At 46.7% G+C, this 18,974-nt stretch overlaps 1 protein-coding gene across 51 annotated transcripts in view, besides 9 other annotated features; it reads right to left on the reverse strand.

The window, feature by feature from the left end:
- USP28 (ubiquitin specific peptidase 28) overlaps positions 1–4,350 on the reverse strand; it is a 77,698-nt gene extending 73,348 nt beyond the window's left edge. For 44 of the 51 annotated variants that reach the window (NR_174609.1, NM_001400807.1, NM_001400809.1 and 41 more), the window contains exon 1: positions 4,223–4,350. Coding sequence is in view for 23 of the 51 variants with exons in the window: in NM_001400788.1 (NP_001387717.1) it covers positions 4,223–4,279 (57 nt within the window). In the remaining 28 variants the exon portion in view is untranslated. Of the gene's footprint in view, positions 1–3,294; positions 3,658–4,222 lie in introns of all 51 variants that reach the window. The other 7 variants (NM_001400811.1, NM_001400804.1, NM_001400796.1 and 4 more) reach the window with 2 other exon arrangements.
- Positions 2,238–2,738: an enhancer, noted in NCBI's record as "H3K27ac hESC enhancer chr11:113744182-113744682 (GRCh37/hg19 assembly coordinates)". NCBI's record gives its function as "activates a minimal SCP1, AML or CMV promoter by ChIP-STARR-seq in primed H9 embryonic stem cells {active_cell/tissue: H9 hESC(primed)}" and the evidence as "EXISTENCE:reporter gene assay evidence [ECO:0000049][PMID:30033119]".
- Positions 4,049–4,408: a silencer, noted in NCBI's record as "silent region_3912". NCBI's record gives its function as "represses an Ori minimal core promoter by ATAC-STARR-seq in GM12878 lymphoblastoid cells {active_cell/tissue: GM12878}" and the evidence as "EXISTENCE:reporter gene assay evidence [ECO:0000049][PMID:35858748]".
- Positions 4,049–4,619: a biological region, named in NCBI's record as "Sharpr-MPRA regulatory region 42".
- Positions 4,325–4,619: an enhancer, noted in NCBI's record as "tiled region #42; HepG2 Activating DNase unmatched - State 1:Tss, and K562 Activating DNase unmatched - State 1:Tss". NCBI's record gives its function as "activates a minimal TATA promoter and a strong SV40 promoter by Sharpr-MPRA in HepG2 cells, with weaker activation in K562 cells {active_cell/tissue: HepG2 | K562}" and the evidence as "EXISTENCE:reporter gene assay evidence [ECO:0000049][PMID:27701403]".
- Positions 4,429–4,588: a silencer, noted in NCBI's record as "silent region_3913". NCBI's record gives its function as "represses an Ori minimal core promoter by ATAC-STARR-seq in GM12878 lymphoblastoid cells {active_cell/tissue: GM12878}" and the evidence as "EXISTENCE:reporter gene assay evidence [ECO:0000049][PMID:35858748]".
- Positions 4,609–4,858: an enhancer, noted in NCBI's record as "active region_5543". NCBI's record gives its function as "activates an Ori minimal core promoter by ATAC-STARR-seq in GM12878 lymphoblastoid cells {active_cell/tissue: GM12878}" and the evidence as "EXISTENCE:reporter gene assay evidence [ECO:0000049][PMID:35858748]".
- Positions 4,909–5,570: an enhancer, noted in NCBI's record as "H3K27ac-H3K4me1 hESC enhancer chr11:113746853-113747514 (GRCh37/hg19 assembly coordinates)". NCBI's record gives its function as "activates a minimal SCP1, AML or CMV promoter by ChIP-STARR-seq in naive H9 embryonic stem cells {active_cell/tissue: H9 hESC(naive)}" and the evidence as "EXISTENCE:reporter gene assay evidence [ECO:0000049][PMID:30033119]".
- Positions 11,007–11,793: an enhancer, noted in NCBI's record as "H3K27ac-H3K4me1 hESC enhancer chr11:113752951-113753737 (GRCh37/hg19 assembly coordinates)". NCBI's record gives its function as "activates a minimal SCP1, AML or CMV promoter by ChIP-STARR-seq in naive H9 embryonic stem cells {active_cell/tissue: H9 hESC(naive)}" and the evidence as "EXISTENCE:reporter gene assay evidence [ECO:0000049][PMID:30033119]".
- Positions 14,152–14,938: an enhancer, noted in NCBI's record as "NANOG-H3K27ac-H3K4me1 hESC enhancer chr11:113756096-113756882 (GRCh37/hg19 assembly coordinates)". NCBI's record gives its function as "activates a minimal SCP1, AML or CMV promoter by ChIP-STARR-seq in naive H9 embryonic stem cells {active_cell/tissue: H9 hESC(naive)}" and the evidence as "EXISTENCE:reporter gene assay evidence [ECO:0000049][PMID:30033119]".

The raw sequence follows: 18,974 nt of genomic DNA on the forward strand, positions 1-18,974 counted from the left end.
CTCTAGCACACTCAACTTTCTGCATGTCTAAATCCTAGGGGATGTGAATGCTGCTGGTCTGTGGACCATAATGTGAGTAGCAAGGGAGAAGACAGTGAAGGTGTCTGGGGGTTAGACTAGGACTAAGGAGAAGGGACATAATAGAAAGAGAAGAGAGACATCATCTAGATCAGAGTTTGTCAAGCTCAGCACTATTTTATACAATTTACACATAACTCTGTTTAGAGGGGCTTACTCCTGTACACTGCAGGATGTTTAGCAGCATTCCCGGCTTCTACGCACTACATTCCAGTAGCATCCTCCCTCCAGAGTCACAATCAAAGTCTCCAGACATTGCCAAATGCTTCCTAGATTACAAAATCTCTCCCTAGTAAAAACCATTAATCTAGGTTTATCTCTAAGAAATGAAAGGGGGAAAAAGGAAGGGAACCTTTTCCACTGAAATAAGAGAAAAGAGATGAGATGGCGTAGGGAGAGGGGGACAAAACAGAAGGCAGGGAGCTCTTTTTAGACATCAGCGAGCTCAGTCAAGTAGAAAAGAAGATTATCTATTTAGAAAGACTGTAGGGAGGACTGGAAGTTTAAAACATTAGGAGAGTTCTAGAAAAGGCATTATAAGAGTAGTGGAAAGTCTGTGATCCAGGGCAATGGGCCCATCAACTATGAGATAGGACCAGGGGCGCCTTGGGCTCTTGGGGTCAGAACTGCCTAGATACAATTCCAACTGTACCATATCCTCACTGGGTGACCTTGGACGAATTACTTAACAAGTATAAGCCTTCTCATAGAAACTTCATGGAGTTGTGTAAGTACTGAGAGAATGCTATGTTAAGTTCTGAGCACCGAGTCTGGCACATAGTGCATGCTCAATTAGCATTAGCTATTACTATTACCAGCATTATTTTCCTTGTTAAGTACTTGCTTCATTTTACTATTGATTTAATTTCTTTGATGAAACAGAACACATGGAGAGATCTCGCCTGGTAAGATGCTATTTGCCAGTAAGTCTTAAAAATACTGTTTGCAGACCGAGGCGGGCGGATCATGAGGTCAGGAGATCGAGACCATCCTGGCGAACACTGTGAAACCCCGTCTCTACTAAAAATACAGAAACATCAGCCGGGCGTGGTGGTGGGCACCTGTAGTCCCAGCTACTCAGGAGGCTGAGGCTGGAGAATGGCATGAACCCGGGGGGCGGAGCTTGCAGTGAGCAGAGATCGCGCCACTGCACTTCAGCCTGGGCAACAGAGCGAGACTCCGTCTCAAAAAAAAAAAAAAATACTGTTTGCATTTGGGGGCAGAGGGGCATGAGAGTTGTGGAACCAATCACTGACTTACTGATGTTTTAAAAATCAGTTAATGAGACAAAAGGAAACGAAAGGTCAATAAATCAAGAGAAAGCAAAAAGGGCATTAAATTTTCACTGAAACTGGCAGGTTTTTATAAGGCTTCAGCTGACATAAAGAATGTGTGATGTGAACCCTCAGTACAGCTGCCAAGAATGACAGGTTTATAAGAACCAAACTGACTTCAAGTTGTTTCTCCTGTAATAACAGTAAATTTTGCTGCTATCGAAGTCAAGAATTGATTAAAATACAGGAATCTGTCACTATGTAACCTCTTTAGATATTCGAATACCAGTTTGCAGTCTAGAGGATTTAGTGAAATCATAAAGTGTCTACTCTCAGATTCGAGTCCATACTGATAGCATATTTCAAGAGTACTACATATTTCTCGCACTAAAATTCTTGGGAGGCCATAAAGGGTTTTGTCTGTCCTGTGTACAACTGACCAATAAGGGAAGGGAAGCAGTCTAGGCTTTAAATAGCTTCTGAGTGTCAGGGAAGGATAGCTCTCCTCAACTAGAACAATGAAATATCCTTTAAGGGAAAGGTAGAATGCCTCAGAGAGTTCAAAATAAAAGAATCCATTCTAACATGAAACTTACCAAGATGAGGAAGAAGTTATTAAAATCTTTCCTGTAAGATCAAAAGGTACTTTTCCTGTAAGTTCCTTCAACCTATCCTGGTAACTTGAAGCATTTTATTAGCAAAAATAAAAGGGGCAAACATTATCAAGCATTCCAAGCTTATCAGCTTTCCGTATAGGGCAAATCACTGGGAAGAACAGTAAATGTCATCACTCTGCAGGTGGCCAGGAATCGGAGTACTCCAGCCAGCCACAGCCACTGGAGTTCCAAGCCTTCCCAAAATAGCTATGACTTACATACAAATGCTCATCAAGTAGCTCACACACAGTCTCAAACGGAGAATGCTGAAATAGGGTCACTACTCAAACTGCGGCAGAGGTAAATGAAGATGCCACTGATTAATAGGCACATGGTCTTAAATGACTGAGCCACGACAAATTTAAATATGACTTCTCTCTCCCTTAAAATAGTCTCTTCTCTAAATCAATATGATAGTCTCCAAACTAAAATTTTCCCATGTTTTTAAATCACTGTGCTAAAAACAAATAGAACTGACCTCTGAAGCCAGAGAAAAATCTTGACACATTTCAATAGGCACTTGTGAACATCTAACAATATTTCCATTAGAAGTCAGTGCATGATACTTTCGTTTCGGAGCCCAGGACCTGGAAGTATCTTTTTCTACATGAGTTTTAAAAAGCGCATCCAGGCTGGGCGCCCTGGTTCACGCCTGTAATCCCAGCACTTTGGGAGGCCGAGGCGGGCGGATCATGAGGTCAAGAGACCGAGACCATCCTGGCCAACACAGTGAAATCCCATCTCTACTAAAAATACAAAAATTAGCTGGGCGTGGTGGCACGCGCCTGTAGTCCCAGCTACTCGGGAGGCTGAGGCAGGAGAATCGCTTGAACCCGGGAGACGGAAGTTGCAGTGAGCCGAGATCGCGCCACTGCACCCCAGCCTGGGCGACAAAGTGAGACTCCGTCTGGAAAAAAAAAAAAAAAAAAAGTGCGTCCAGACTGGGCGCGGTGGCTCACGCCTGTAATCCCAGCACTCTGGAAGGCCGAGGCGGGCGAATCACCTTAAGTCGGGAGTTTGAGACCAGCCTGACCAATATGGTGAAACCCCGACTCTACTAAAAATACAAAAATTAGCCGGGCCGGTGGCAAGCACCTGTAATACCAGCTACTCAGGAGGGTGAGGCGGAGGATGCAGTGAGCCGACATCGCGCCACAGCACTCCAGCCTAGGCAACAGAGGGAGACTCTGTCGAAAAAAAAAAAAAAAAAAAAAAAAAAGTGTCTCCATGCTAAATACTACTGGCCTTCCAGACAAAAGAGTAAAAAGGTATAAAAGGATTCTCACCTGAGGGTATCTGTCTGCCAGCTTTGTACGACAAATATAGTTTCTCATCTCCAAACTCGTATTTGAACAACTGGCACAGATTTCCCGTTTTCTCTTGAAAAAGTGCAGTACTTGAGGGGTGAGGAGGTGGTGTTAAGTTATAACATTCCGAAGTAACACTAGAAGACATGCTCAAATTGCCCTCTTCCCAAGTTTCTTCATACAGACATTAGCTTTTCTCTCAAACCAGGGTTCTTTCACTCTCACCAGATTCTTAGATCAGAAGTCCTTATATTGATTTCAATCTTCTTAGACATTGGGAACAGGAGATCATCATCAGTAGACTTTCTATTCATCACGCAGCTCCTCCCCCTCCTTAAAAATCTAGAGCGATGAAGGCAATAATTGGGGAGGCTGCGCTGTTTTGTTTTTAAAGCCGGGTTGGGAGGGAGGGAAGTGGTGGTAACTGGGACCCCTGGTCTTATAGAAGACGGTGATTAATTCCGGACTTTAAGTGAGATAACTTCGGTCTGCTTTAACCTTTTAAAAACGCCGCCATAAAACTGATTTAAAAGTCAAAGCAAAACAAAACCAACCAACGCTGCCGCTTTCGGAAGTTTCTCACCCCGGACGGGGCCCAGGAGGGCTCACCTTACTGATCCCTGCGGCGGAGAACCCCACGTCCAGCCCTTTATATTTGGTTTTCCAAAATCTGGAAATCCCCCTACAACTTCAGCTCGCCCACGGACGCGAAGATGCAGTCCTCAATCTCCGCGGCCCGAGCCCCGCAGAGCCCTTGGCCTTCTCACCCACGCTGGCGGGCGCACCCCCTGTCCCGCCCGGCCGGGGCGCCCTCCGCAGCCCGCAACCCGCAGCCCTGCAGGCCCCGCACGCTCCCCTCAGGGCCTGGAGCCCGCCCCCAGCTCCCGCTCGCCGCCGCGGAGCCCACCGAGCCGTGGCCGTCTGCCGCGCCGGCCGCGTCGTCCTGCTGCAGCTCCGCAGTCATGGCCGAGGCGCCCAGCCGCGGGTCACCGGTCTCCCGCCGCAGCCGCCGCCGGCCCAGCCTCTCAGGACTAGGCCCCGCCCCCGCCCTCCACCCCGCTCCGTCCCGCCCCCGCCCGCAGCGCGCGCCGGAGGCTTGGCCCACATGCCCCGCCCCCGGCATGCGCGCGCACGCAAGGCGCGCGGCCCGGGGCCGAACAGTTCTGCGTGCTCCCGCGCACGCCCGGCTGACCAGACGTCGGTCACGTGATCCCGGCCCCGCCTGTCGCTGTTGGTCAGCTTCACAGCCGGTGGAGGCTGCGGGCCGCGCTGCCAGTGTCCGGGAACTGGGTTTGCGAATCCTGGGAGCCGCGTTCCTGAGTCTTCTCCGCTCTCTGCCCTCAAAACCTCATTTGTAGGACTGACCTCCGGCTCCACCCTCCCCACGGGCGAGTTAAAACTGTTCCCCCGCCGTGGGAAACTGCCGAATGACCGTGGAATAAAGGATTTCCCATCAGGCTTTGTAGCCATTTCCAACTCCAATGACATGAAGAAGTGTTCACCATCTTTAAGGAGAGAAGGAGGATGAATGCAGTCGCTTGTCTAAAGCTAACCAAACGGACCAAAGCCTCCGTTCATGGGTGTCCCGCTTGGTGCCCTTAACCCTGATGCTCTTAACCTGGGCATGATAAGGAAAATTGCAGTTTTTCCATTTTCGATTTTCAGAAGTTCAAACTAAAATTTTGTGTTACTTTGTTACGTTTGAGCCAGATATTTACGATTTCATGTTAAAAGACCAGGTGCTCCTATTGAATTGTTTTTTGTTTGGTTGGTTTCGGTTTGTTTTTTTTTTTTTCTTTTTTTTTGAGACGGAGTCTCACTCTGTCCCCTCAAGCTGGAGTGCAGCCGCACGGTCTCGGCTCACTGCAACTTCCGCCTCCTGGGTTCAAGCGATTCTCCTGAGTAGCTGGGATTACAGGCACGCTGTACCACACCCAGGGTTTCACCATGTTGCCCAGGCTGGCCTCGAATTCCTGACCTCAGGTGATCCGCCCGTCTCGGCCTTCCATAATGCTGGGATTATAGGCGTGAGCCACCGCGCCAGGCCTGAATTGTATTTTCAACAACTGTGTGGGAATTGTGATTACTGAACCATGTTTCACATTTAAGATACAAATGTGTTATGATGGCAAACCCACTTGACAGGCTGCTGGGTGTCCCAAATCTGCGTAGAGGCTGAGTGTGGAAGCGCGTCTTTTAAGAGTAGCACCTACACCCTTGCCCTGGTCTGGTCTGACTCTCAAGCTACACTTTTAAGTGTGAATTTAACATGGACGGTGGCCTTTCCTATACTCCTGGCATTGTTGTCGCTGGGATTGTTATGTTTCACCTGCAGGCCTCCCTAGTCTGCATGCGGGCGCAGTTTTTGACAAAAGGAAACAGGTACAGGTCAGGTGCAGCTCCCAGGAGAGGCCAGATTACTCTCTGAGGCCTGAACTAGGACTCCTGCAACTTCCACCACCTGGAGATACAGGGATCCGCTTCCCCTGGCAGATTAACTGGCAGATTGGCATGGCTGCGGTGATACTAACTTGGAATCTTCCACATTCAACAGGCTGACTGTGTTTGTGTCTGCGAGTAGTAGGACATTTTATGTATGTGGCTCTGCCATTTTTCCTTTCCTCATGAGTGACTGTGTTTATGGCCTCAACCTGGGTGTCACTGTAGAACAGGTTGATTTCAGGTTGATGCTGGTTTTCTTTTTTTTTTTTTTTTTTTTTGAGACAGGGTCTCACTCTGTCACCCAGACTGAAATACAGTAGTGAGATCATGGCTCACTGCAGCCTTGAATTCCTGGGCTCAAGCAGTCCAACTGCCTCAGCCTCTGAAGCAGCAGGGACTTCATGCATGTGCCATGCCCAACTAATTTTTGTGTCTTTTTTATGGAGATGGGATCTCACTGTGTTGCCCAGGATGGTCTCAAACTTCTGGTCTCAAGCAATCCTCCTGCCTTGGCCTCCCAAAATTTGGGGATTACAGACATGAGTCACCACGCCCAGCCCACATTGATTTCTGAGTCTAGCTTATTTACAGCATTGCCTATTTCTACACTGCTAGAATGCTTTATTTACCATGTCTCTGGAGCAACCCTTATTTGTCTTTACACATTCATTTTAGGAAATTGCATGTTTATTGTGTGTAAGTGCTGTCAAAACCTATAATCCTTTGTATTAGTCTGTTCTCACACTGCCATAAAGAATTACCTGAGCCTGGGTAAGTTATGAAGAAAAGAGGTTTGACTCAGGGGCATAACAGGAAGCAAGACTGGGAGGCCTCAGGAAACGTACAATCGTGGTGGAAGGCAAAGGGGAAGCAGGCATGTCTCACCATGGCAGAGTAGGAGAGATAGAACAAAAGAAGTGTCCCCCCCGACCCCCCGCACACACACACACACAAAGATCTCATAAGAACTCACTATCATGAGAAATGCATGGGGGAAATCCACCCCATAATCTAATCATGTCCCACCAGGTCCCTCCCCTGGCAAGTGGGAATACAATTCGACATGAGATTTGGGTGGGGACCCAGAGCCAAACCATATTACCCTTATTCATTAAAATTTTCTTTTTTTTTTTTTTTTTTTGAGACGGGGTATCGTTCTGTCGCCCAGGCTGGAGTGCAGTGGTGTGATCTCAGCTCCCTGAAACCTCTGCCTCCCGGGTTCAAGCAGCTCTCCTGCCTCAGACTCCCGAGGGACTACAGGCGCCTCAGACTCCCCTGGGACTAAGGCATGCACCACCACGCCTGGCTAATTTTTAGTAGAGACAGGGTTTCACCATGTTGGCCAGGCTGGTCTCCAACTCTTAACCTTGTGATCCACCTGCCTCTGCCTCCCAAAGTGCTGGGATTACAGGCATGAGCCACCGTGCCCAACCTTCATTAAAATTTTCTTAAAAGACCAGCAGACCTAGGCCAATCACAGGTTCATGCCTGTAATCCCAGCAGTTTAGGAGGCTGAGGTGGGCAGATCACATGAGCTCAGGAGTTGGAGACTACCCTGGGCAATGTGGCAAAACTCCATCTATACAGGAAATACCAAAAAAAAAAAAAAAGTATTAGTCCGTTTTCACGCTGCTGATGAAGACATATCCAAGACTGGGCAATTTACAGAAGAAAGAGGTTTAATTGGACTCACAGTTCCACATGGCTGGGGAGGCCTCAGAATCATGGCGGGAGGTGAAAGGCTCTTCTTACATGGCAGCAGCAAGAGAAAATGAGGAAGAAGCAAAAGTGGAAACCTCTGATAAACCCGTTGGATCTCATGAGACTTATTCACAATCACAAAAATAGCACGGGAAGACCGGCCCTCATGATTCAATTACCTCCCCATGCGTACCACCCACAAACACGTGGGAATTCTGGGAGATAAAATTCAAGTTGAGATTTGGGTGAGGGCACGGCCAAACCATATCATTCCACCTCTGGCCCCTCAAAATCTCAGGTCCTCACATTTCAAAAGCAATCATGCCTTCCCAACAGCCTCTCAAAGTCTTAACTCATTTCAGCATTAACCCAAAAGTCCGCAGTCCAAAGTCTCATCTGAGACAAGGCAAGTCCTTTCTGCCTATGAACCTGTAAAATTAAAAGCAAGCTAGTTATTTCCTAGATACAATGGGGGTACAGGTATTGGGTAAATACAGCAGTTCCCAATGGGAGAAATTGGCCAAAACAAAGGGGTTACAAGGCCCAAGGAAGTCCAAAATCCAGCGAGGCCGTCAAATTGTAAAGCTCTAAAATGATCTCCTTTGACTCCAGCTCTCACATCCAGGTCACACTGATGCAAAAGGTGGGTTCCCATGGTCTTGGGCAGCTCTGCCCCTGTGGCTTTGCAGGGTACAGTCTCCCTCTTGGCTGCTTTCATGGGCTGGCATTGAGTGTCTGCAGCTTTTCCGGGCACACAGTGCAAGCTGTCGGTGGACCCACCATTCTGGGCTCTGGAGGACAGTGACCCTCTTCTCACAGCTCCACTAGGCAGTGCCCCATTAGGGACTCTGTGTGGGGGCTCCGACCCCACATTTCCCTTCCATGCTGCCCTAGTAGAGGTTCTCCATGAGGGCCCCACCCCAGCGGCCAACTTTTGCCTGGGCATCCAGGTGTTTCCATACATCTTCTGAAATCTAGACAGAGGTTCCCAAACCTAAATTCTTGACTTCTGTGCACCTGCAGATTCAACTTGGAAGCTGCCAAGTCTTGGGGCTTCCATCCTTTGAAGCCACAGCCCGAGGTGTGCATTGGTCCCTTTCAGCTATGTCTGGAGCATCTGGGACACAGGGCACCAAGTCCCTAGGCTGCACACTGCATGGGGACTCTGGGCCTGGCCCACAAAACCACTTTTTCCTCCTGGGCCTCCGGACTTGCGATGGGAGGGGCTGTTGTGAAGGTCTCTGACATGGCCTGGAGACATTTTTCCCGTGGTCTTGGTGATTAACATTAGGATCCTTGCTACTTACGCAAATTTCTACAGCTGGCGTGAATTTCTCCCCAGAAAATGGGTTTTTCTTTTCTTTCTTTCTTTTTTTTTTTTTTTGAGGCGGAGTCTTGCTCTCGCTCTGTTACCCAGGCTGGAGTGCAGTGGTGCAATCTTGGCTCACTGCAACCTCTGCCACCCAGGTTCAAACCATTCTCCTGTCTCAGCCTCCCAAGTAGCTGGGACTACAGGCACCCGCCACCACGCCTGGCTAATTTTTGTATTTTTGGTAGAGATGGGGTTTCACCATGTTGACCAGGATGGTCTTGATCTCTTGACCTCGTGATTCACCCACCTTGGCCTCCCGAAGTGTTGGGATTACAGGCGTGAGCCACCGTGCCCAGCCAGGTTTTTTTCTTTTTTATCACATTGTCAGAGTGCAAATTTTCCAAAATTTATGCTCTGTTTCCTTTTTAAAACTGAATGCTTTTAACAGCACCCAAGTCACCTTTTGAATGCTTTGCTGCTTAGAAATTTTTTCCACCAGATACCCTAAATTATCTCTCTCCAGTTCAAAGTTCCACAGATCTCTAGGGAAGGGGCAAAATGCCACCAGTCTCTTTGCTAAAACACCTTTGCTCCAGTTCCCAACAAGTTCCTCATCTGCATCTAAGACCACCTCAACCTGGACCTTATTGTTCATATCACTATCAGCATTTGCATCAGAGCCATTCAACAAGTGAGGTTGGGTGAAGGCACAGCCAAACCGTGTCCAAAAATTAGCCAGGTGCAGTGGCTTGTGCCTGTAGTCCCAGCTACTTGGGAGGCTGAGGGAGGGGAATCACCTGAGCCCAGGACGTTAAGGCTGCAGTGAGCCCAGATAGCACCACTCTACTCCAGCCTGGGTGATGGAGTGACACCCTGTCTCAAAAAAAAAAAAGAAAAAGAAAGACCACCAGACCTCCTATACCCTTATCTCTGAAAGAGATGTGTACAGGCCCTTTGGTAAATGTAGGCCCTGAGTTTTGATTAAACCTCTTTCTGCTGGATGGTTCTAAACAGCGCTGCAGATCTAATAAATATAATTAATTTGGGGCTAGATGTGGTAAATCCTGTTAGCCTCCTTTAACTTCCACTCGGTGCTGGACATGGTAATCAGCTAGACACACCCTGTCCTACCACAGCATTTAATGAGCAAGTCTACATCAGTGCTTGGCCATCAGTTGGCAAGTCTCACAGTGATCAGATATCAAAAGTGGATATCACGGAACATGTGCTGTCACCACAGAAAATCCCATCTCATTCCTCTAACGGGCTTATACATGAAGGCTCTAGAATAATTCTATTATTAGTCAATAATCATTTCAAGAGTATCCAGGGGAGAAAATAATATTGATAAGAAGCAATAATAAATAATTGGTGTGTTTAAACAGGGAATAATTTGCAGCGTATTTTCCCAGAGAGGAAATTGATTTTTTTTTCCTTTTTCCTTTTCCTGGAAAACCTTTTGTCCCAATGCTAAGTTATTTTTATTTTTTTATTTTTTTCCTGAGACGGAGTCTTGCTCTGTTGCCCAGAGCTGAAGTGCAGTGGTGTGATCTCAGCTCACTGCAACCTCCACCTCCCGGGTTCAAGCAAGTCTCCTGCCTCAGCCTCCCGAGTAGCTGGGATTACAGGCATGCGCCACCATGTCTGGCTAATTTTTGTATTTTTAGTAGAGACAGGGTTTCACCATGTTGGCCAGGCTGGTCTTGAACTCCCCGCCTCGGTCTCCCAAAGTGCTGGGATTACAGGCATGAGCCACTGCGCCCAGCCTATAAGTTATTTTCTGAGTCAATGGATTTCTCTTCTGATTTACTGCAAACCCAAAATATAATTTATATTATAAAATGATCTTGTTTGAATGATTGAATTCTTGTGTGGATTGAGGAGCTAAGTGACAATGAAGGGAAAATGTTGGGAAAAGAATAGAGAAAAGAAGAAATAAAGAAACATGCACTTATGTTTCTTCTCTGCTTCACTCTTGTAAATGTTTTTTGCCAGTGGCTTCTGAGCAGCTGGGTTTGAAAGCCGCAGGCTATGGCTGATTGACAGGTGTGACTGGTCTTTAAGCTATGGATTCCTTTCCAGGAATGATTAGTCAGAAATGTCCTTAAGGGCCAGCTCCTCAGCAGCTAGGAAAATGGCCTTTGGAGGATAAAACACAGATATTTCAGTAATAACCCCTAGATTAAAAAGTTCACTTATTTAAGGTTAAATTACAGGTGTTAAGAAAATGTTTCAGAAAAGGATCTATGGTTGGTTGAAAAATAAATGGATTTCCAACCTGCGTCAAATGTGTAATGCAGGCAATGTAGTGTGTGGAGAATTGAAATAGCTTTTGGTAAAGTTAATGAGTTCATTTTAGAAGTACAGTTAACTAGGCCGGCGTGGTGGCTCACGCCTGTAATCCCAGCACTTTGGGAGGCCAAGGTGGGTGGATCACGAGGTCAGGAGATCGAGACCATCCTGGCCAACATGGTGAAACTCCATCTCTACTAAAAATACAATAATTAGCTGGGTGTGGTGGCGTGTCCCTTATAGTCCCAGCTACTCGGGAAGCTGAGGCAGGAGAATCGCTTGAACCCTGGAGGCGGAGGTTGCAGTGAGCCAAGATCGCGTCACTGCACTCCAGCCTGGGTGGCAGAGCAAGACTATGTCTCAAAAAGAAAAAAAAAAAAAGAAAAACAAAAGAAAAGAAGTACAGTTAATGAGTATACACAGGGGATTGATTCCAGGACCTCCACCTGACTCTACTATAACAAAGTCTGCACATACTCAAATTGTGAAGTTGACCCTGCAGAACCCACGTATAGGAAAAGTCAGCCCTCTACATACTCGGGTTTCATAATCCTTGAATACTGTTTGTTTGTTTGTTTGTTTTTGAGACAGGGTCTTTCTCCGTTGCCCAGGCTAGAGTGCAATGGCGGGATCACAGCTCACTGCAGCCTCGAATTCCTGAGCTCAAGCGATCCTCCCAACTTGGCCTCCCAAAATGTTGGGATTACAAGTGTGAGCCATTGCACCCAGCTTGAATACAGTATTTTTGATCCATGTGTGTATTTTGATCTGCATATAAGTGGATCCATGCAATTAAAACGCACGTGGACTCTATTTGGCTTTGGTATTCAGAATATGAACTCTCCGTGGCTGACATATGTACTTCCAGCACCTTGAGGGGGCTGAGGTGGGAGGATCACTTGAGGCTAGGAGTTCCAGACCAGTCCAGGCAATATAGCAAGATGCCATCTCTACAAAACCTACAGAAATCAGCTGGGTATGGGTGGTGCACACCTATAGTCCCAACTACTCCAGAGGCTGACGCAGGAGGATCACTTGAGCCCGGAAATCAAGGCAGCAGTGAGCTATGATTATGCCACTGCACTCCAGCCTGAGTGACAGGGTGAGACCCTGTCTCTAAAAAAGAAAATAATAATTTTATTGATCTGGTACTTAACTCTGGAAGAAAAGAGAACTATTATTATTATTTATTTCTTTATTTTTGAGATGGAGTTTCGCTCTTGTTGCCCAGGCTGAAGTGCAGTGGCGCGATCTCAGCTCACTGCAACATCCGCCTCCTGGGTGCCAGCAATTCTTCTGCCTTAGGCTCCAGAGTAGCTGGGATTATAGGTATGTGCCACCACGCCCAGTTAATTTTGTATTTTTAGTAGAGACAGGGTTTCTCCATGTTGGCCAGGCTGGTCTCGAACTCCTGACCTCAGGTGATTCCGCCCCCCACCACCGCCTCAGCCTCCCAAAGTGCTGGGATTACAGGTGTGAGCCACCGCGCCCAGCCTGAGAACTATTTTTAATTGGGAAGCTGAAGTTCGGGGATCACTTGAACACGGGAGTTCAAGGCTGCAGTGGGCCAAGATTGGGCCACTGCACTCCAGCCTGGATGACAGAGACAGACCCCATCTATAAAAGTAAATAAAATAAAATAGAACATTTTTAGAGGAAGTAATAGCTAACATTATCGAGCACTTAGGTCAGGTGGTTCTCTGAGTACTTTGCGCATAGGAACTGACTTTATTCTCACAATACCCTATAAAGTAAGTGCTGTTAGTATTACAGTTGTACCTGCTTTACAAGTGAGGAAACCACCACAGACAGATTAAGTAATTTGCCCAAGGTCTTTCTAAAACAGCACTCTAAATCAAGCATTTAAGCTCTATCTTTCTGTAGCCCAAGGTTAAAGATAAGGAGATTCAGGTTTAGAGAAACCCTAATTGGGAAAGATGAATAATTAGAGAGAAAACTGCCTGCAAAGATTTATCTGGCCAGGTGGCAAGGTGGCTCACGCTTGCAATCCCAGCACCTTAGAAGGCTGAGGTGGGTGGATCACCTGAGGTCAGGAGTTTGAGACTAGCCTGGTCAACATGGTAAAACCCTGCCTCTACTAAAAATACAAAAAGTAGCCAGGTGTGGTGGCGGGGGCCTATAATCCCAGCTACTCAGGAGCCTGAGGCAGGAGCATCGCTTCAACCCAAGAGACGGAGGTTGCAGTGAGCCAAGATTGCATCATTGCATTCCAGCCTGGGAAACAGAGCGAGACTCCTGGGGGTGGCACTGCAGCTGAGTTGACAAAGATAGGGAAAGCTGAGGGGAAAAATGGGAGTTTTAGCACTGCTAAGTTTAGCTTAAAGCTGCCTCCTTACATACTTTAAGTTCAGCCCAAAGGTTTCTCCATACACAGTAGACCATAACTAACTGGATATGTAAATAGGCTGTTACGTACTCTTTTTTTTTTTTTTTTTTTTTTTGAGAGGGAGTCTCACTTTGTGACCCAGGCTGGAGTGCAGTGGTGCGATCTCAGCTCACCACAACCTCTGCCTCTCTGGTTCAAGCGATTCTCCTGCCTCAGCCTCCTGAGTAACTGGGATTACAGGTGCCTGCCACCATACCTGGCTAATTTTTGTATTTTTAGTAGAGACGGGGTTTCACCATGTTGGCCAGGCTGGCGTTGAACTCCCGACCTCAGGTGATCCACCCACCTCGTCCTCCCAAAGTGCTGGGATTACAGGCATGAGCCACTGCCCCCAGCCTGTTACCTACTCTTGTACCAACCAGATAGTTTCAGAAATCACAGGCAGACAACTGTTCAAATCATGTTCAAATAAGGCAAACGCCAAGCTGCAACCAATCCAGCTATTTCTGTACCTCACTTCCCTCACTTCTGTTTTCTTTTCTTTACTTTTTTTTTTTTTTTTTTTTTTTTGCGACAGAGTCTCACTCTGTCACCCAGGCTGGAGTGCGGTGGCACAACCTCGGCTCATTGCAGCCTCCACCTGCTGGGTTCAAGCAATTCTCCTGCCTCAGCCTCCCAAATAGCTGGGATTACAGGCATGCCCCACCACACTCGGCTAATTTTTGTATTTTTAGTAGAGATTGTATTTCATCATGTTGGCCAGGTTGATCTTGAACTCCTGGCCTCAAGGGATCTGCCTGCCTCCTTGACCTCCCAAAGTGCTGGGATTACAGGCGTAAGCCACAGGGCCCAGCCTCACTTCTGTTTTCTGTAGGTCATTTTCCTTTGTTTGTTAATAAATGTTATCAAGGCCGGGCCTGGTGGCTCACGCCTGTAATCCCAGCACTTTGGGAGCCTGAGGTGGGCAGATCACGAGGTCAGGAGTTCAAGACCAGCTTGGCTAACATGGTGAAACCCCATCTCTACTAAAAATACAAAAATTAGCCGGGCATGGTGGCACACGCCTGTAATTTTAGCTACTGAGAAGGCTGAGGCAGGAGAATTGCTTGAACCTGGGAGGTGGAGGTTGCAGTGAGCTGAGATTGAGCCACTGCACTCCAGTTTGGGCAAAAGAGCAAGATTCCATCTCAGAAAAAAACATAATAAATAATAAATAAATAAATATTATCTGATCAGGTAGCAGCCCTGGAGTTACTCTGAACTTTTTCTGGTTCAGGGTACTGTCCAATTCTCAAATTGTTCTTTGCTTTGTTAAACGCTGTTAAATTCGTCTAAAGTATTTTCTTTCAACAGCACTCAATCAGAAGACTAGTTACAATTACAGCAACCACAGGTTCCAGTTTGCCTGGGGCAATCTGATTTTCCCTTGTTTTCCCGGTATGCTTATCAGTAACTCCTCCTTTCTCAAATTTCCAGATTTGAATGATAAAGCAGTTTCATCTTAAACTTAAGCAAAGGTCCTAGAGAATATTGACATTGTATTCCCAAAAGTCTTCCCCCGCCCCCCACCCCCTGCCCCCCCCGCAACCCGGAGGTGGAGTCTCACTCTGTGACACATGCTGGAGTGCAGTGGCACAATCTTGGCTCACCACAACATCTACCTCCCAGGTTCAAGCCATTCTCCCACCTCAGTCTCCCGAGTAGTTGGGATTACAGGCGCCTGCCACTACGCCCGGCTAATTTTTGTATTTCTAGTAGAAGTGGGGTTTCACCATGTTAACCAGTCTGGTCTCAAACTCCTGACCTCAGGTGATCCGCCTGCCTTGGCCTCCCAAAGTGCTGGGATTACAGGTGTGAGCCACCGCACCTGGCCCCAGAAGCCTTATAGATACAGCAAAAATGCAAATTGTGAGCCAAGTCTGAGAAATATGCTTTATTAACAAGCACTGGTTAATCTGTTTCTAAAGAGCACAGATGGGAAACAGAGGGCACCTCCCTGAGAGTGGATGGGATCATTTATTGCCATAAGTTTCATTTGCTTAAAGGACTGCAGCTTTTTCACTTTTGTAAAGGATTGTAAACCAACAACTATTGGCATTTAAGATTAGGATTTAAGGATGCCAGATGGCCATCCCTTGGGAGATAGAGATGATGTGGAGTTGGAAGAAGAGACAGTATTTGATGGCCCCTGCCAGAGGGGTAAAATGCTAAGGACTGAAGTTGAGTGGGTCTTTTTTGTTTCCATTTGTGAGGAGAGTTCAGAATTTCAGACCTGAGATGGCCGTGGAAGAACTCTGAAGTCCTGGAATCATTGTTTTTTTTGTGGTATTTGTAGTCTCCTATACTTCTCCAGGAGTAATCCATAGCAAGAAACTTAAAACCAAAGGAACAGGGTGCTTAATATAAAGACTGTTTGGACTTTTCCACCATTTTTTGTGTAGAGAGGGTGTCAGTTGCTCTAAGGAGAACAAGTATTGAAATCTGGAGCCAGCAGATCAGAGAATTAGTCTATGCAAATGAAGACTTTCTGGTAACAAAGAATAAAAAGCTTTAGAAAAGGACTTCAGGGCAGGGCGCAGTGGCTCACGCCTGTAATCCCAACCCTTTGGGAGGCAGAGGCAGGTGGATCACCTGAGGTCAAGGAGATCAAGACCAGCCTGACCAACATGGTGAAACCCCGTCTCTACTAAAAATACAAAAATTATCTGGGAATGGTGGCGGGTGCCTTTAATCCCAGCTACTTGGGAGGCTGAGGCAGGAGAATCGCTTGAACCTGGGAGGTGGAGTTTGCAGTTAGCTGAGATCAAGCCATTGCCCTCCAGCATGGGTGACAGAATGAGACTCTGTCTCAAAAAATAAAAACAAAAATACAAATAAATAAATAAATAAAATAAAAAAGAACAGTACTTCCGCTTAAAATTGCTAGCCATAGGCCGGGCACAGTGACTCCTGACTGAGGTCAGGAGTTCGAGACCAGCCTAGCCAAGATAGCGAAACCCTGTCTCTGTTAAAAATACAAAAAAATTAGCTGGGCGTGGTGGCGATTGCCTGTAATCCCAGCTACTCAGGAGGGTGAGGTAGGAGAATCACTTGAACCTGGGAGACGGAGATTGCAGTGAGCCAAGGTCGCGCCATTGCACTCCAGCCTGGGCAACAAGAACGAGACTCCATCCCTAAATAAATAAATAATAAATAAATAAATCAAATTGCTATCCATGGGCCAAGCACAGTGGCTCATGCCTGTAGTCCTGGCACTTGGGAAGGCCGAGGCAGGTGAACCAGACCAGCCTGGTCAACATAGTGAAACCTCATCTTTACTAAAAATACAAAAATTAATCAGGCGTGGTGGTGCATGCCTGTAATCCCAGCTACTCTGGAGGCTGAGCCATGAGAATTGCTTGAACCCAGCAGGCGGAGGGTACAGTGAGCTGACATTAGGCCACTGCACTCCAGCCTTGGTGACAGAGTGACACTCTGTCTCAAAAAAAAAAAAAAAATGCTAGCCATGTTATTTAAAGTGGAGGAGTCTCAACTTTTATTTCCTCAGCTTTGTGGAAAGATGAATAGTATTACCAACAACTCTTCTATTATACTAAATATTCTTATTTCATTGGCAAGACAGAGAACGGAATGATGGCAAAAACCAACCCTATCTGACTTGATCATGATGAATCTGAATGATCTAGTTATGAGCTTATCTGAAGAACATAATGAAAATATTTTGAACGTTATGTGTTAGCACTTGAATACTTTTTAATTTTAATTTTAACTATGTTTTTTGGTAGAGACAGGGTCTTCCTATGTTGCCTAGGTTAGTCTTGAACTCCTGGCCTCCAATGATCCTTCCACCTCTGCCTCCCAGAGTGCTGGAATTACAGGCATGAGCCACTGTGCCAGCCAAGTTTTTTTTGTTTGCTTTTTTTTTTTTTTTTTTTTTGACGGAGTCTCGCTCTGTCGCCCAGGATGGAGTGCAGTGGCGCAATCTCGGCTCACTGCAAGCTCTGCCTCCCGGGTTCACGCCATTCTCCTGCCTCAGCCACACGAGTAGCTGGGACTACAGGTGCCGGCCAACACGCCCGGCTAATTTTTTGTATTTTTAGTAGAGACAGGGTTTCACCATGTTAGCCAGGATGGTCTCGATTTCCTGACCTCGTAATCCACCCGCCTCGGCCTCCCAAAGTGCTGGAATTACAGGTGTGAGCCACCGCACCCAGCCTGGCCAAGTTTTAATTATTAAATTTAAAGAAAAAAACTAAATATGCATTGCTCAAACTGGAAAGAGTAAAGAGCCACTTTTCTATCACTTTGAGGACACTACTGAATAAGCATACACATTCAGAGCAGATTCTGGGGATTGCCAGAGGGATTTCTTGGAACAAAATTTGTTTAACAAACATGACACTTTTGTATCATATGAGAAAAGCTATGACATATCTCTTGCCTTTTCTACCCATGTACACAGGTGTCTTATTCCATTTGTGTTGCTGTAACAGAAATGCCACAGACATGGTTACTTATAGAGAAAAGAAATTTATTTCTGACAGTTCTGGAAGTTTTTGTCCAAGGTTGAGGTGTTGGCATTTTGTGAGGGTCTTCTTGCTGAGTCATCTCATGGCAGAAGGCAAAAATTAAAAGGAGCTCACATGAGAGCAAGAGTGGACAAGAGGGGCTTACCTTGCTTTTTATCAGGAACCCACTCTTGTGAAAATGCCATTAATCCATTCATAAGGGCAGAACCCTCATGGCCTAATCACTGTCACTCAGGCTGGAGTGCAGTGGCCCAATCTCACTGCAACCTCTGCCTGCCAGGCTCAAGTGAGGTTCCCACCTCAGCCTCCCAAGTGGCTGGGACCACAGGTGTGTGCCACTACATCTAGCTATTTTTTTTTGTATTTTTTTGTACACATAGGGTTCACCATATTGCCCAGGTTGGTCTTGAACTCCTGGGCTCAAGCGACCCACCTGCCTTGGCCTCCCAAAGTACTGGAATTACAGATGTGAGCCACTGCACCTAGCCTGTCCCATCTGGGTGAGCCACTGCACCCAGCCATTACCATCACAATGGCAATTAAATTTCAACCTGAGTTTTGGAGGGGACATTCAAACCATAGCAAGATGTTGGGGGTCTCTGTGTTGGTTTTCATAAAAACTAAAAATCTAGGCCAGGCACGGTGGCTCACGCCTGTAATCCCAGCACTTTGGGAGGCCGAGGCGAATGGATCACCTGAGGTCAGGAGTTTGAGACCAGTCTGGCCAACATGGAGAAACCCTGACCAACATGGCGAAACCCTGTCTCTACTAAAAACCCAAAAATTAGCCAGGCATGGTGGTGTGTGCCTGTAATCCCAGCTACTAAGGAGGCTGAGGCAGGAGAATCACTTGAACCCGGGAGGTGTAGGTTGCAGTGAGTGGAGATCACTCCGTTGCACTCCACCCGGGGCAACAAGAGTGAAACTCTGTCAAAAAAACAAAAACAAAAACAAAAAAACCCTAAAAATCTAAGCCACTTTATTGATATAATGCCTCATCTGTGTCTTGAACTCCTGGCCTCAAGCAGTCCTCCTG

The sequence above is a fragment of the Homo sapiens genome, chromosome 11 (genome assembly GCF_000001405.40).
Source record: "Homo sapiens chromosome 11, GRCh38.p14 Primary Assembly".
In the NCBI taxonomy this organism is placed as follows: Eukaryota; Metazoa; Chordata; class Mammalia; order Primates; family Hominidae; genus Homo; species Homo sapiens.